This window comes from Homo sapiens, chromosome 16 (genome assembly GCF_000001405.40).
Source record: "Homo sapiens chromosome 16, GRCh38.p14 Primary Assembly".
In the NCBI taxonomy this organism is placed as follows: domain Eukaryota; kingdom Metazoa; phylum Chordata; class Mammalia; order Primates; family Hominidae; genus Homo; species Homo sapiens.
This window is the reverse complement of record NC_000016.10, coordinates 19,737,040-19,750,862: the sequence shown is the minus strand read 5'-3', so window position 1 is coordinate 19,750,862 and position 13,823 is coordinate 19,737,040. Positions and strand designations below refer to the sequence as shown.

General features: G+C 43.0%; 1 protein-coding gene across 8 annotated transcripts in view; it reads right to left on the bottom strand.

Annotated features, from left to right (window-relative positions):
• Positions 1 to 13,823, bottom strand: part of IQCK (IQ motif containing K) — a 140,197-nt gene that overhangs the window by 107,605 nt on the left and 18,769 nt on the right. The gene's annotated exons all lie outside the window — the stretch shown is intronic.

Genomic DNA, 13,823 nt, shown 5'->3' with positions numbered 1-13,823 from the left:
TTTTCCAATTTAATTTTGTTGTTATTCAATTGTTATCTTTCATTGTAGCTGTGCCAGGCACTTAACTGAATGCTTTAAATGCATTATCTTATTAAATTCTCGGCTGGGTGCGGTGGCTCACGTCTGTAATCCCGGCACTTTGGGAGGCCAAGTTGGATGGATCACTTGAGGTCAGGAGTTCGAGACCAGCCTGGCCAACATGGTGAAACCCCGTCTCTACTAAAAACACAAAAATTAGCCGGGCATGGTGGCACACACCTATAGCCCCAGCTACTGGGGAGGCTGAGATAGGAGAGTTGCTTGAATCCGGGAGTTGGAGGTTGCAGCGAACCGAGATCATGCCACTGCACTCCAGCCTGGGTGACAGAGCAAGACTCCATCTCAAAAAAAAACAAAAACAAACAAAACAAAAAAACACAAAATTCTCATTAACTTAGGCCAGGCGCAATGGTTCACTCCTGTAATCCCAGCACTTTGGGAGGCCAAGGTGGACAGATCACTTGAGATCAGGAGTTCAAGACTAGCCTGGCCAACATGGTGAAACCCCGTCTCTACTAAAAATATTAAAATCAGCCAGGCACGGTGGCACACGCCTGTAGTCCTAGCTACTTGGGAGGCTGAGGCAGGAGAATCCCTTGAACCAGGGAGGCAGAGGTTGCAGTAAGCCAGGATCACGCCACTGCACTCCAGCCTGGGCCACGGCGCGACACTCCATCTCAAAAGAAAAAAAAAATCATAAACTCCCTTATCTGAAGCAATTACTATTGTTATTTACATTTTACAGAGGAAGAGACTGAGGCTTAGAAATATTAAAATTACAAGGTCACAATACTAGCAAGGTCTGGGGTCACGCATCTACAAAGAGGTGGAATGAGGCCCTATTCTCAGGTGAAAATGGCTCCAAATTCTATTCTAAATCATTAAGCTTCCCTTACACTGTAGTGCCTCCCACACAACAATAACTACTTAATCATTCAGCTTCCTTTATACTAGACTGCCTCCCACATAACAGCTATGACTATAAAAATATGGATAGTTCCAGGACTTCAAAGCATGAATTGGCACACTTTTTCTTTTTCTTTTTTTTTTTTCCTTTTTGAAACAGAATTTCACCTGTTGCCCAGGCTGGAGTGCAGTGCTGCAATCATAGCTCACTGCAGCCTCGACCTCCCAAGCTCAATGGATTCTCCCACCTCAGCCTTCTGAGTACCTGGGACTACAGGCGCACACCATGGTGCCCAGCAAATTGTGTAAATTTAATTTTTGTAGAGACGGGGTTTCACCATGTTGCCCAAGGCTGGTCTTAAATTCCTGGGCTCAGGCGATGCTCTTGCCTCAGCCTCCTAAAGTCCTGAGGCTATATATGTGAGCCACCATGCCCAGTCAAACTTTTTCTTAAAGGGTCAGATAGTAAACATAGGCTCGTGTCACAAATATTCAACTCTGCCACTGTAGTGCAAAAGCTATTACAGATAATAGGTAGAGGAACGGGCATAGCTGTGTTCCAGTGAAATTTCATTTACAAAAACAGGTAGCTGACCTGTGTAGTTGGAAGGCGTTCAGCTTCGGAACGTTATGAATAACTGACAGATGATCTTTCCTATGGTATCATGGAAACATCCATAGTACTTGATTTCTGACACTGAAGTCTGATTTTAAGAAAGCTCTGTTTCGTCTCTCTTCTCTATTTCCTGGATAACCCTTTATGATTCTAAGGGGTTAACAGTTGAAACATCTTTTGGATCTGGGACTAGTTTATGACCTGGCTTTTCCTGTTCCTAAAATGTAGCAGGAGAAATGCAGTTCTCTAAACAACCAAGAGAGTCAATGATTTACTTTAAGATACATTCTTTCAAAAAAACCTCATTTTCATTCTTTAAAAAATGGCTTCCTTCTTTAGACATAAATTCTCAAGAGAAGGCTGAAATACTTGCAGGGCTGGTTTTTTGTTTTGTTTTGTTTTGTTTTTTTCCATTACAGGATGTGATTCTAGCAGTTGCTTAATTCTAGGAGGTGTCTTTATATTACATTCTCAGATTCTAAGCTCATCATTATTTCTAAGAGTTATGTTTTGATTTTTACTAATACCTATCATTTTAAAAGGTACTAGTATTTTCAGAATGACAAGGAGAGTCCATCCTTGGCCATCTATCTGTAATGTCCAGAATGCAGTAAGAGAATTACACCCTCCATTCACTCATGTAACAATTGGTCAACCAGAAGAGGCCATGGGGAATAGCACTCCTTTACAGGTTGGCTCTTTTCCAAGAGAAACGCTAATAGGATTAACAACATTTAATGTGTATTGAGTGCTGTCTATATGCCAGACACTCTTAAGTTTTGCTTAACTCATTTATCCTCACAACAAGAACATATTACTACGATGTACTACATACAATTCATATTTTACAGATCAGAAAATGGGGGCACAGAGATGCTAAATACCTTGCCCAAAGTCACTTACTAGTAAATGGAAGGATAAGAATTTAGCTGGGTTCGGTGTCTCATGCCTGTAATTCCAGCACTTTGGGAGGCAGAGGTGGGCGGATCACCTAAAGTCAGAAGTTTCAGACTGGCCTGGCCAACATGGTGAAACCCTGTCTCTATTGAAAACATAAAAATTAGCTGGGACTGGTGGCACACACCTGTAATCCCAGCTATTCGGGAGGCTGAGGCACCAGAATTGCTTGAACCTGGGAGGTGGAGGTTGCAGTGAGCCACGATAACACCACTGCACTCCAGCCTGGGCAACAGAGTAAGACACTGTCTCAAAAAAAAAAAAAAAAAAAAGAATTTGAGCCCAGATGGTTGAACTCCAGAACAAGCCCCTTCACACATTAGCTCATTTAATCTTTCCTGAAGTCACCAGGCTGGAGCTAACAGTCACAGCTGCCATCTGTGACCCGGTCCATATTATTTCTAACGCAGTGTATACGGTAAGTTGCAAAAAGGGCCACCATTCTCCACCCTTCCTGTATCTGCACTTTGCAGTGTGACTTTACAGCTCTTCCCATCAAGAATTGGAATCTATAAAAGGGAACAAACTCATGTATTTTGCAGCAACATGGATGGAACTGGGGGGCATTATCTTAAGTGAAACAAGCCAGACACAGAAAGTCAAATATCGCATGTTCTTACTCATAAGTGGGTGCTAAAACCTGTCTATACACAGATGGATAGAGTGGAATGACAGACAGTGAAGACTCGGAAGGGTGAAGGGGTGGGAGGAGGGTGATGATGACAAACTACTTATTGGGTACAATGTGTGTTATTTGGGTGATACCCTAAAGCTCTGACTTTGCCACTGTGCAATCTATGCATGTAATGAAATTGTATTTAAACCCCACACATTTACTTAAAAAAAAAAAAAAGGAATCTATTTCCTAACTCTTCGGATCTGGGCTGGCCTTGTGACTTGCTTTGGCCAATCTAACGTGTGAAAGTGACACTATGTCAGTTCCAAGCCTCAGGCTCAAGAGGCCTTGACGTGTCTAATTGAATTGAAGCAACCCTGCCTGGCTGCCCTATGAACAACCTAGGGTTAATCTGATAGAGGATGAGAGACCACATGGAACAGCTCATCCCAGCTGAGGCCATCCTAGACCAGCCAGCATCTAGCCTATCCAGTAGCTGCCAAAGACACATGAATGAACCCAGCCAAGGCCAGAAGAAACTCCCAGCTAAATCTAGCCCAAGTTGCTAACTTGCAAAAAAGTGAGCTAAATAAATGGTTATGATTTTTTGCTGGCAGAGATAGGGGTCTTGCTATGTTGCCCAAGCTGGTCTTGAACTCCTGAGCTCAATGATCCTTCTGCCTTGGCCTCTTAAATTGCTGGGATTACAGCCATGAGCCACGATGCCTGACCAATGCTTGTAATTTTAAGCCACTAACTTTTGAGGTAGTTTATTATATGGCAAAAAAGTTAACTGATAAAGTACATAATAATCGAAATGCAATTTATGGCCAAATGATAATGTTCCCCCTATCTGGCAGTTAGTCAAGACTGCTACCACAGCCATCTGGCATAAAGCCATGCCCCTCAAAGCCGGCGGACAAAGCTTCAGACCAGAGGAGGAAAATCCTGCCACAAAGCCACTGCCCTTCACTTTGTTAAAGAACCATTGGGTCACCCTCAGGTCAGAGCCTGCTGACTTTCTTTTTAAAGCCTTGTCCTTTGAGGATCACTTTGATTTTTAGAAACAAAAGCAACTCGTAGCCAAGTTTGGGAAATGAAGTGATCAATGCTCTTTTGTTAAAAATAAAAAAGAAACTTGACTATAAAGTTATAATAAGATTTTCTTGCATGGCTTACAAACTAGATCTGACGGCAATTCTAAGAGTCACAATGGGAAATGTTTTCAGCACCCACAGCCTTATCACCATGAGACACAGTAGGAATGAATGTCAGGTTGGGGATGGTTAATGGCAACAACTAAGACCTACTATTTGATAGCAAAACAGGGTAACTACAGTCAATAAAAACTTAAGTGTACATTTTAAAATAAGTAAAAAAGTCTATGTAATTGGATTGTTTGTAACACAGTTACTTAGGGGATGGAAACCCCATTCTCCATGATATTTCGCATTGCATGCCTGAAGCAAAACATCTCATGCACCCAATAAATATATATATCTACGACGTACCCACAAAAATTAAAAGAAAAAAAAAAAGAAATGAAGCTAGACTCTTTTTTTTTTTTTTTTTTTTGAGACATAGTCTCACTCTGTCCCCCAAGCTGGATCTCTGCTCACTGCAACCCTGCCTCCTGGGTTCAAGTGATTCTCATGCCTCAGCCTCCCGAGCAGCTGGGATTACAGGCACATGCCACCAGGCCTAGCTAATTCTTAGTATTTTTAGTAGAGAACTTGGTGGAAGTCATGTTCCAGGTCTTGGCTTTGCACTTTTGCTTTTACCCTCTTGGAAAGCTGCTGGAGACCACCACGCTGTAAAGGAGCTGGGCTGGCCCACTGGAGGATGAGAGGCCACATGAAGGAGAACCGAAGTGCCCCAGCTAGCAGGCAGCACCAGGGCCCCAGACACATGAGTGAGATAGAATTGGACCTTCCAACCCAGCCCAGTTACCAGCTGAACGCAGTCACATGAGTGACCCCAGGAGAGAGCACCAGAACTGCCCAGTCGGCCCAGAGTCATGAAAAATAATAAATCGTTATTTTAAGCCATGAAGTTTTCAGGTAGTTTACTGTACAACACAGCAATCAGGTAACTGATAAATAGGTTATATTATATCATCTAAGCATTTCATTTCAGGATAGCAAGAAGCACACTATACAATGCTATGACAAGGGAGCACTGGGCCCAGTAGGGTTGAGTCACGGCTCTAATTACTTCCAACTGCTTTTAAAATAAAACCCACTTTGTTTACTGGCCCATGTGATGTTACGGCCGCTGCGGGGCTGACCCTGTCAAACTCACCTCCTCTCTCTTTTGCTCACTCTGCCCCAAACATACTGGCCTCCTTTTTGTCCCTGGAATAGGTCACAGAATTTGGCAGTACTGGGTCATTAGTAAACTTGAGTTGTACCAGACATAGTGAGCATTTAAATGCCAGAGTGCCACATTAAAGAAAGAATGAATGGTAAAAAGATGTAGGTGAGGTGATTCACTGAGTGTGTCAGTGAAAAGGAAAGAGAGAAAGAAAATAACCTAGACGATGCAGCAGGGTCAAATATGAGGACTTGAAAATGTTACTTATCATTAACTTTTATTTTTCCTGATTACAAAGGTAACTCGTGCTTCTTTTGAAATTTTTTAATATACCCAAAATATTGGAATATTAAATATAGGAGAGCAAAGGGTCAAAACTTTCATCTCTTTCCCATCTTCCATGTGATTCTTCACTTATTGGCCAACGAATTTAGATACTATTATCTGCATTCTGTTACCTTTGGCTTGTTGTATACATGGCTGCATAAATCGCTATACACACAGGAAATGTCTGTACAGTATCTATTGTTGGCCACAGATGTACTTCCACCAGCTATTTGTACAAAGCAATCATTTTCCGTTATTTACCTTTCACAGAGTATATTTGTTTAACACAATATAAAATACTGCTAGCACCCAGCTAATTTCACAGCAAAACTAGAAGGCCATTGGCTTTATTTGTAGATTGTCACTCTAATGCCATACAGATGCCACTTAAAAAATCTCAATTACTTTTTTTACATGATTGAAAATGACCCTTTGAGAAAGGGTTAAATAAATCTATTTCACTTGTTAAATTCGTATCATGAAATGTGGAGGTCTTGATCTAACTCTCAGGCTGAGATAATTCATGGAAATCATGTGCTTAAGGTTTATTCTCCCAATTGTAATCTCCACCAAAAATTAAGGATTAGGGAAATACCTGCCTATTAAATATGCTGAATTTTACATTGAGCATTTAAAATAGAGTTAAATATCTAAGATGGGCCAGGTGCACTGGCTTATCCCTGTAATCCCAGGACTTTGGGAAACCAAGGCAGGAGGACCACTTGAGCTCAGGAGTTTGAGACCAGCCTGGGCAACACAGTGAGACCCCATCTCTAAAAATAAAAATGAAAATAATTTTTAAAATGAAAAAATATACTATTTGTGTGCTTAGAGAAAAGAAGAAAAAATAATCTAAGCAGGAACAACTGTTTGTTTAGAAACTATATTAAATTCATAGTATTTAAAATGATATATATAAAAGAATCACAAGATGAGTGACTCAAAATCAAAATAATCAAGCTTGCATAGCTTTTGGGGAACAGGCCTGGGTTGAAAGGGTCTGCCTGATTCCAGAGGCTGGAATCATGGAATTGCTGAACCATGTACCACACAATGCCTGAATTCATGTGTGCAGACACACCTACACCTATACACACACCCACACACACCACACACCACACAATAGATGTGTGTGTAATTGGCCAAATGCTCTATGGCATAGTAATTAGGTGCCAGCTCTTGCTGTTTCTCTGTCTGCTCTGTTCCCCCTGGTCTTCCTTGGAGTTTCATGGTACTGGCAGGACAACCTAAATAAAAGGCTTGCTAACTTCTCACTCCTTTTCTCCACAGCCTCCAGACCCATCTTTCATGTCAGAATCTGACCTCTGCTTTCAGCAAGCTGTGTGACTGACCATCAGAGTGGAGCAGTGGTCAAACTCTTAGACTCTGGAACAATTCTTGGTTTGAGTCTTGGCTCTGCCACTTTCTAGCTGTGAACTTAAGCTTCTTGGTTAGCCCTGGTGCTGTACAGCCCTGATCCATAAGATGATGATAATAGCATCCACCTCCAAAGATTGTTGGGAGGATTAAATGAGTGACTGCAGGTAAAGTGCTTAGAATGACATCTGGCACAAAGCAAGGCTCAAAAAGTGCTGACAACTACTATTCTTGAATCCTAGCCTCTTGCTCTACTCTCTGGCTCTCCATTGTCTGTGAATGAGGCTCCTTCAATTTGAGGGGATTTGCTCCTTGCCCAGCTCCAGCTCCAGGGAGCCTAGCAGACTTAGGCGGTCTCCCCATTGTTTACCTCCCTCCAGAGGCAGTAGATCCAGTCACTGCAGGTATAGTTAATAAATTACCTCCTGTGTGTAATAACTACAACAAACTGAATAAAGGTCACAGACCTCCAGAGTGCTCATGTAGCTTAATTATGATCTTAAAAGTAGGCCCTGACTTTTATTTATTTATTTATTTATTTGAGACAGAATCTCACTCTGCCACCCAGGCTGGAGGGCAGTGGCGTGATCTCAGCTCACTGCAACCTTTGCAACCTGGGTTCAAGCGATTCTCCTGCCTCAGCCTCCCGAGTAGCTGGAATTACAGGCACGTGCCACCATGCCCAACTAATTTTTTTGTATTCTTAGTAGAGACAGGGTTTTGCCATGTTGGCCAGGGTGGCCTTGAACTCCTGACCTCAAGTGATCTACCCGCCTCGGCCTCCCAAAGTGCTGGGATTATAGGCATGAGCCACTGCATCTGGCCAGCCCCATCTTTTGAGAATCCATATTCATTCATTTATCCAATAAATACTCATTGAGTTCCTACTATGTTCCAGGCACTATGGGGGCCATGTCATAGAAAGAAAAAACAGAAAAATAATGAAGTCAAGTATAAATAACTAGACATCAGCAGTTTAAGGGCAAAACGCAGATCAGCAAGTATTTTTGAGCAACTTAATATAAATGTTATTTCAAGATATAATTTGAATGGCATCAATAAACAATGAATTACGCTGCTGTGTAAGAGCCAATTGGATGCAAGTTCAGTTGTGGGTGACAGATAAAAATGCCCCAGTTATGTAATTTTGGTTGGAGGCCAGTCATCATTCAGTTTAAGCATCTATTCCCAATGACAGGATGTGAGGAACAGCTGAATCAAGAAAATGTGAATCTGTTGTGCAGATCAGGATAAGGGGAGTTCCACTTGGGTCTGACAAATGTTGAAATGGTACTAATGTCATTTTTAAGCCTTCGAAAATAACCCACAAAAGACTAGATGACCGGGGACGGGGGAACATGGAGGGAATCCGATTTAATTAAAAAACCCTAAGTCAGGAAATGAAGAAAGTTAATAGTAATTTACCCACCTTGCGTATTTGTAGCATTCAAAATACTGAACTTCCTGGCAAAGCGTGAGAAGCAGAGGAGGAGGAAGTTAACATTCCTTGGGTCTGGAAGTATCATTCATTACTTCCCCTCTTCCGCCCAATGACAGGAGCAGGTCTGCTGTCCTTTCAATAGTTGAGGAAACTGAGGCTCACGGATTACTTAGGGCCATGCTGCAAGGAAGCAGTCTAGCAGGATTTTGAACTCCCGTGTGCCTGCCTTTCAAGCTTCTCCACTCTTATAAGTGAACAAGTTTGTTGTTGTTTTTGTTGTTTTTGAGACTCAGTCTCACTCTGTCACCCAGGTTGGACTGCAGTGATGAGATCTTGGCTCACTGCAAGCTCTGCCTCCCAGGTTCAAGCAAGTCTCCTGACTCAGCCTCCCAAGTAGCTGAAATTACAGGTGCCTGCAACCACACCTGGCTAATTTTGGTATTTTTAGTAGAGACGGGATTTCACCATGTTGCCCAGGCTGGTCTCGAACTCCTGGGTTCAAGCAATCCTCCCGCCTCGGCCTCTCTAAGTGGTGGGATTACAGGCATGAACCACCATGCCTGGCCACATATGAACAGTTTTAACAACCCACATTTTCTACATTGCTTTATCATTCATTATACAATTTAAACTTTAATGCTCTGTTCAAGCACCCTGGAGCATCTGACATCTAGACTGTTTTCATTTAGTCTCAGGAGTAGCTCATCTGTAGGATGTCAACAATGAAATATGAGTTGGCACAAGGATGCCTCATTAATCTCTAATATAATTAGAAATTTATCTGGTTCTTTCAAAGCATTTTATCACTGCTTACAGGCTGGAAACTGTTTCTAGCCCCCTTGTTACAAAATTATTTATGGTCAAATATTAGATATGCAACCTTCATGTAAAATCTTAATTACTGCCCTTTTAGCTGATTTTTGTGCCCTCTGAAAGGGTATAAATTAGAAGAATAATGGCCAAGTAAATTAGAATAAAGGTTGCACAATGGAATATACATGCACCAAGGTCTAGAAATGAATCCCCAGCTACAGATCCACTGTAGCCATTTCTCCTTATTCATTCTTATTTCAGAGGAGTGAAAAAAACAGACACAAGGGGAAGAAAAATAAAAACAACTTTAGTTCATCATTATGGCTCCTCTAGGACAGGACCATGTCTTCTTGTCCCCTCAGTGTGCCCTGGGGTCTGGCCTCATGATCAGCACACAGCAGGGCTTAATGAATGTTTGTTGAACAGAACCAAACATGGGCGACTCATCCTGCTTCATCCTGCTTGTAGATATTCTTTTTTTTTTTTTTTTTAGATGGAGTCTCGCTCTGTTGCCCAGGCTGGAGTGCAGTGGCACGATCTTGGCTCACTGCAACCTCTGCCTCTCGGATTCAAGCCATTCTCCTGCCTCAGCCTCCCGAGTAGCTGGGACTCAGGCACCTGCCACCACGCCCGGCTAATTTTTGTATTTTTAGTAGAGATGGGGTTTCACCATGTTGGCCAGGCTGGTCTCAAACTCCTGACTGCATGATCCACATGCCTCAGCCTCCCAAAGGGCTGGCATTACAGGCATGACCCACCGTGCCCGGCCAGATATTCTTTACATGTATGAAAACAAAGATTATTCCACTGTGCTCATTTCATTGTTTGATCATTATATTCCATCCTTTGTTCAATCGAATAAAAAGACACAGTGCACTCAATATACTTTGGTCAACAGCAAGATAGGAAAAAGTGATACAATTGCTGAAATGTGACTCGTGAGGTGCTCTTCCTCACTTAGCAGCAGAACAGAAGGCAGAGGGACAAAGCCATCTGACAATGGTGTGGCCAGGCTGAAGGTCTGCTCTGGGACCACTCTTCAACCCAGCCTCACTCCCCTTCCATTCAGCCACACCTTGCACCTGTTTAACACCACGGGATACCTACCAACTGTATCACACCACAATTTGATACAATTTCTGATGATGATCATAGCAGTAGTCAAAACACAGATGATGGGGGAAGGTCAGTTATGAGTAGTGGACAAGAATTAAATTGTCAGGAAAAGCCAAGTGAGCAAATGAAAAAACAGATAAGAATTAGAAGCCGTTTAAATTTGATAACTGAAGGCAAGTAAGCAGTCTGTTCTTCAGAAAATAGCTATGAATGAAAAAAAATCAGTATCTCTGGGAGCTATTTTGAGGACAGCCTCCAACTCCCATTTACTAGGAGGGATGGAAACCCAGGCTTCAGGATCATCTGGGCCTTGGTTGGAGATGTGTGCTGTCTGTTGCTTACTAGGTGACCTTGAGTAATGCTCAACTTCTCTGTGTCCCAGGGCCATCCTTGGTAAAAGGGAGGTGATGAAAAAGAAGATCTGGTTCAGAAGGTTATTGTAAGGGTGAAACAAGATGGTGCATAGGATGCCAGTGCTGACGCACAACGGGCAATAAATCAATGAGAGGGCTCCTCTTTTTTTTTTTGAGACAGGGTCTCACTCTGTCAACCAAGCTGGAGTGCAGTGGCGCCATCATGGTTCACTGCAGACTCAACTTCCAGGGTTCAAGTGATTCTCCCACCTCAGCCTCCCAAGTAACTGGAACCACAGGCATGTGCCACCATGCCCAGCTAATTTTCGTATTTTTTGTAGAGATGGGGTTTTGGCATGTTACCCAGGGTGGTCTCAAACTCCTAAGCTCCAGTGATCCACACGCCTCAGCCTCCCAAGGTGCTGGGATTATAGGCATGAGCCACCACACTGGGTCTTCTCTGACTTTTGATATAATTTCTGATGATTATCATACCAGTACTCAAACCACAGGTGACAGGAGAGCAATTACCTGGATTTAATCATCAGTACCTGAATCATTGACTTTATTTTACCAGCTTTTTTGTTTACAGTTCTCATCAGCAGAGTGCCCTCTCTTGTTAGTGAAAATAAGGGATCTGATCATTATGGTCTTCCCAGGTTCAATATGACAACCATGACTGTAGTAGCACATCAGGAGAAAGAGTGGGGACTGAGGTCCCCAGATTTGAATTCACCAGGCCTATGTGTCAAAACTAGGATTTCTGACAAAGCAATATGAGGAAAACCTTACAACTGTGTCTTTGTTGGGGTGAGAGATGTGAAGCCCCCACCCCCAGTTCCACCTGCAAGGGCTACATGATAGCTGAATTGCATTTAAGAGAGGAGGGAAAGCTGCATGCTGGGCTTGGCCTTGCTGAGTGGGCCATGCAAGCTGAGAGCCACAGCTGAATTGTTCAGGATCCAAAAGGGGTCTGCAGAGGGAGCATGGGGAGGGGGTTCCCAGAGGGTGAGAAATGCTTCCAGAGAGGACTAACGAAGTATTGCTTGATAAGTGCCAACACAACCCTCTTCCCCACCTTCCCATGAGAGAACCCATAAAACAAACCCTCCTTGCGAGATCACTGTGGAATTGGATGGTTTTTCTGGGAACTGGGACCAAGTCCTGAATAAGGACTCTAGATGGCGAAGGAACAAGAGTGACACCACTCAGGTAGCAGGTGTAACCCACAATATCTGGGAAGTACCTGTACCACTGTATCACTGAGATAAATAAGTTAACATGTATTGAGTTCTTCCTAGGTTCCAGGGACTGGCCTAAGTACTTTACATGAGCTACCTCATTTCATCGGCATAATAATCCCATGAGCAGGTGCTATGATCAGCCTCATTTTACATGGAAGGAAGTGATAATGGCTCAGAAAGATGAAATGACTTGTCCTGGGCTATGCTGCCAGCTGGGATGGAGGTGGACTTCAAAATCAGGTAACTTTGACTCAAGTGTTGCTCTTAACTGCTGCGCTATAAATCAAGGCCCAATTTACTAATTATTTGCATAATTAATATATGAGGTGGGGGGGGTCAGACTGTGTCATTTGCCCCTCACTGTTCTCCTCCATCAACTAAACTCATGAAATAGAAGCATATCTTCTTTCCTCACCCCTCCAGGGAATTTCTCCAGGGATGAGTCCAATAGAACAGCCTTCCCAGATAGAAGGAAGCTGGGTTTTGGTCAAAGACATAGTAATAGTGACATTCCCTGGTGTATAATCATGCATTCACTTATTTAATATTTATCAAGGGCCAACTCTATGTTCACCATGTGCTAGGCATTGGGTAGCATTGACTAAAGATATAAAAATAAATCAGAGAATCTGTCCCCAAGGAACTTAAAATACAGGGGGAGACAGACATGCATAAAATTAAGTATATGTGGGCTAAGAATGTCTTAATTAAGGATGTCTTAATTTGCCATAAAATGAGGAACAGATGAAATACTCTGAAATCTGAGAGTTGGGATCAATTACTTCTAGTTTGAGCCCAGCAGGGAACTGGAAGCTTCAGAGAGAAGTTATGGAGCTGAGTTTGGAAAAACAAGTAGAAGTTAAATATGCAGAGAAGAGGAGCTCAGGGATTTTTTTTCTAAAAAAAGCAGAAGCAGATGCACAGAGGCCGTGAGGTGGGGGTTGGTGCAGCGAACTTCGAGTGGTTCTGCTTGGGTGGAGGGTACCATCGGGAAGGGGAGCACTGCGGGGGAGAGACGGAGGGAGAAAGGAAGGAAGGAACCAATGAACACATGAACTAGGCAGAGCCTTGAAAGCTAGGCTGAGGGCTAGTGACTTCGTTATGTGGATCTACTGTTGTCAAATGGTGAACCACGGCCCAGAGGTGTATCCCAAATTCTTCCTTCCTAAGCGTGCTACCCAAATTCTGATCAATGTCTCATCATCCATTTCTGCCTCAAGTAAAGACACAACTGTCATGGTGACGCCTGTCAAAGGAATGTTATGCTGAGCAAATTAAGTGGCAGGCAATTAGGGGGAGGTATAATATGGAGTGATTAAGAGGCAAGTGGGGCAGGATACTGTGAAGGCATTGCTGAGGAAACATCGGGTATTTGCTAGAACATGGGAAAACCTTATTTCCTCAGTATATAGAAGTACCAGCACGGCAGTAGGCAGTTCTCAGATGGGGACCCTGTGCTGAAGGGCAACTAGTTGGGTGATATCATTAACTATGGATAATTTTATAGACCCTAGGATGTGTCAACCTCATTGGGGTTTACACTGTAATTACTGCCGACTTTTTTAGTATCTTTTTTTTCTTTTGGAGACAGGGTCTTGCTCTGTTTCCAGGCTGGGGTGCAGTGGCATGATCATGGCACACTGCAGCCTCAACTTCCAGGGCTCAGTTGATCCTCCCATCTCAGCCCCATGAGCAGCTGGGACTA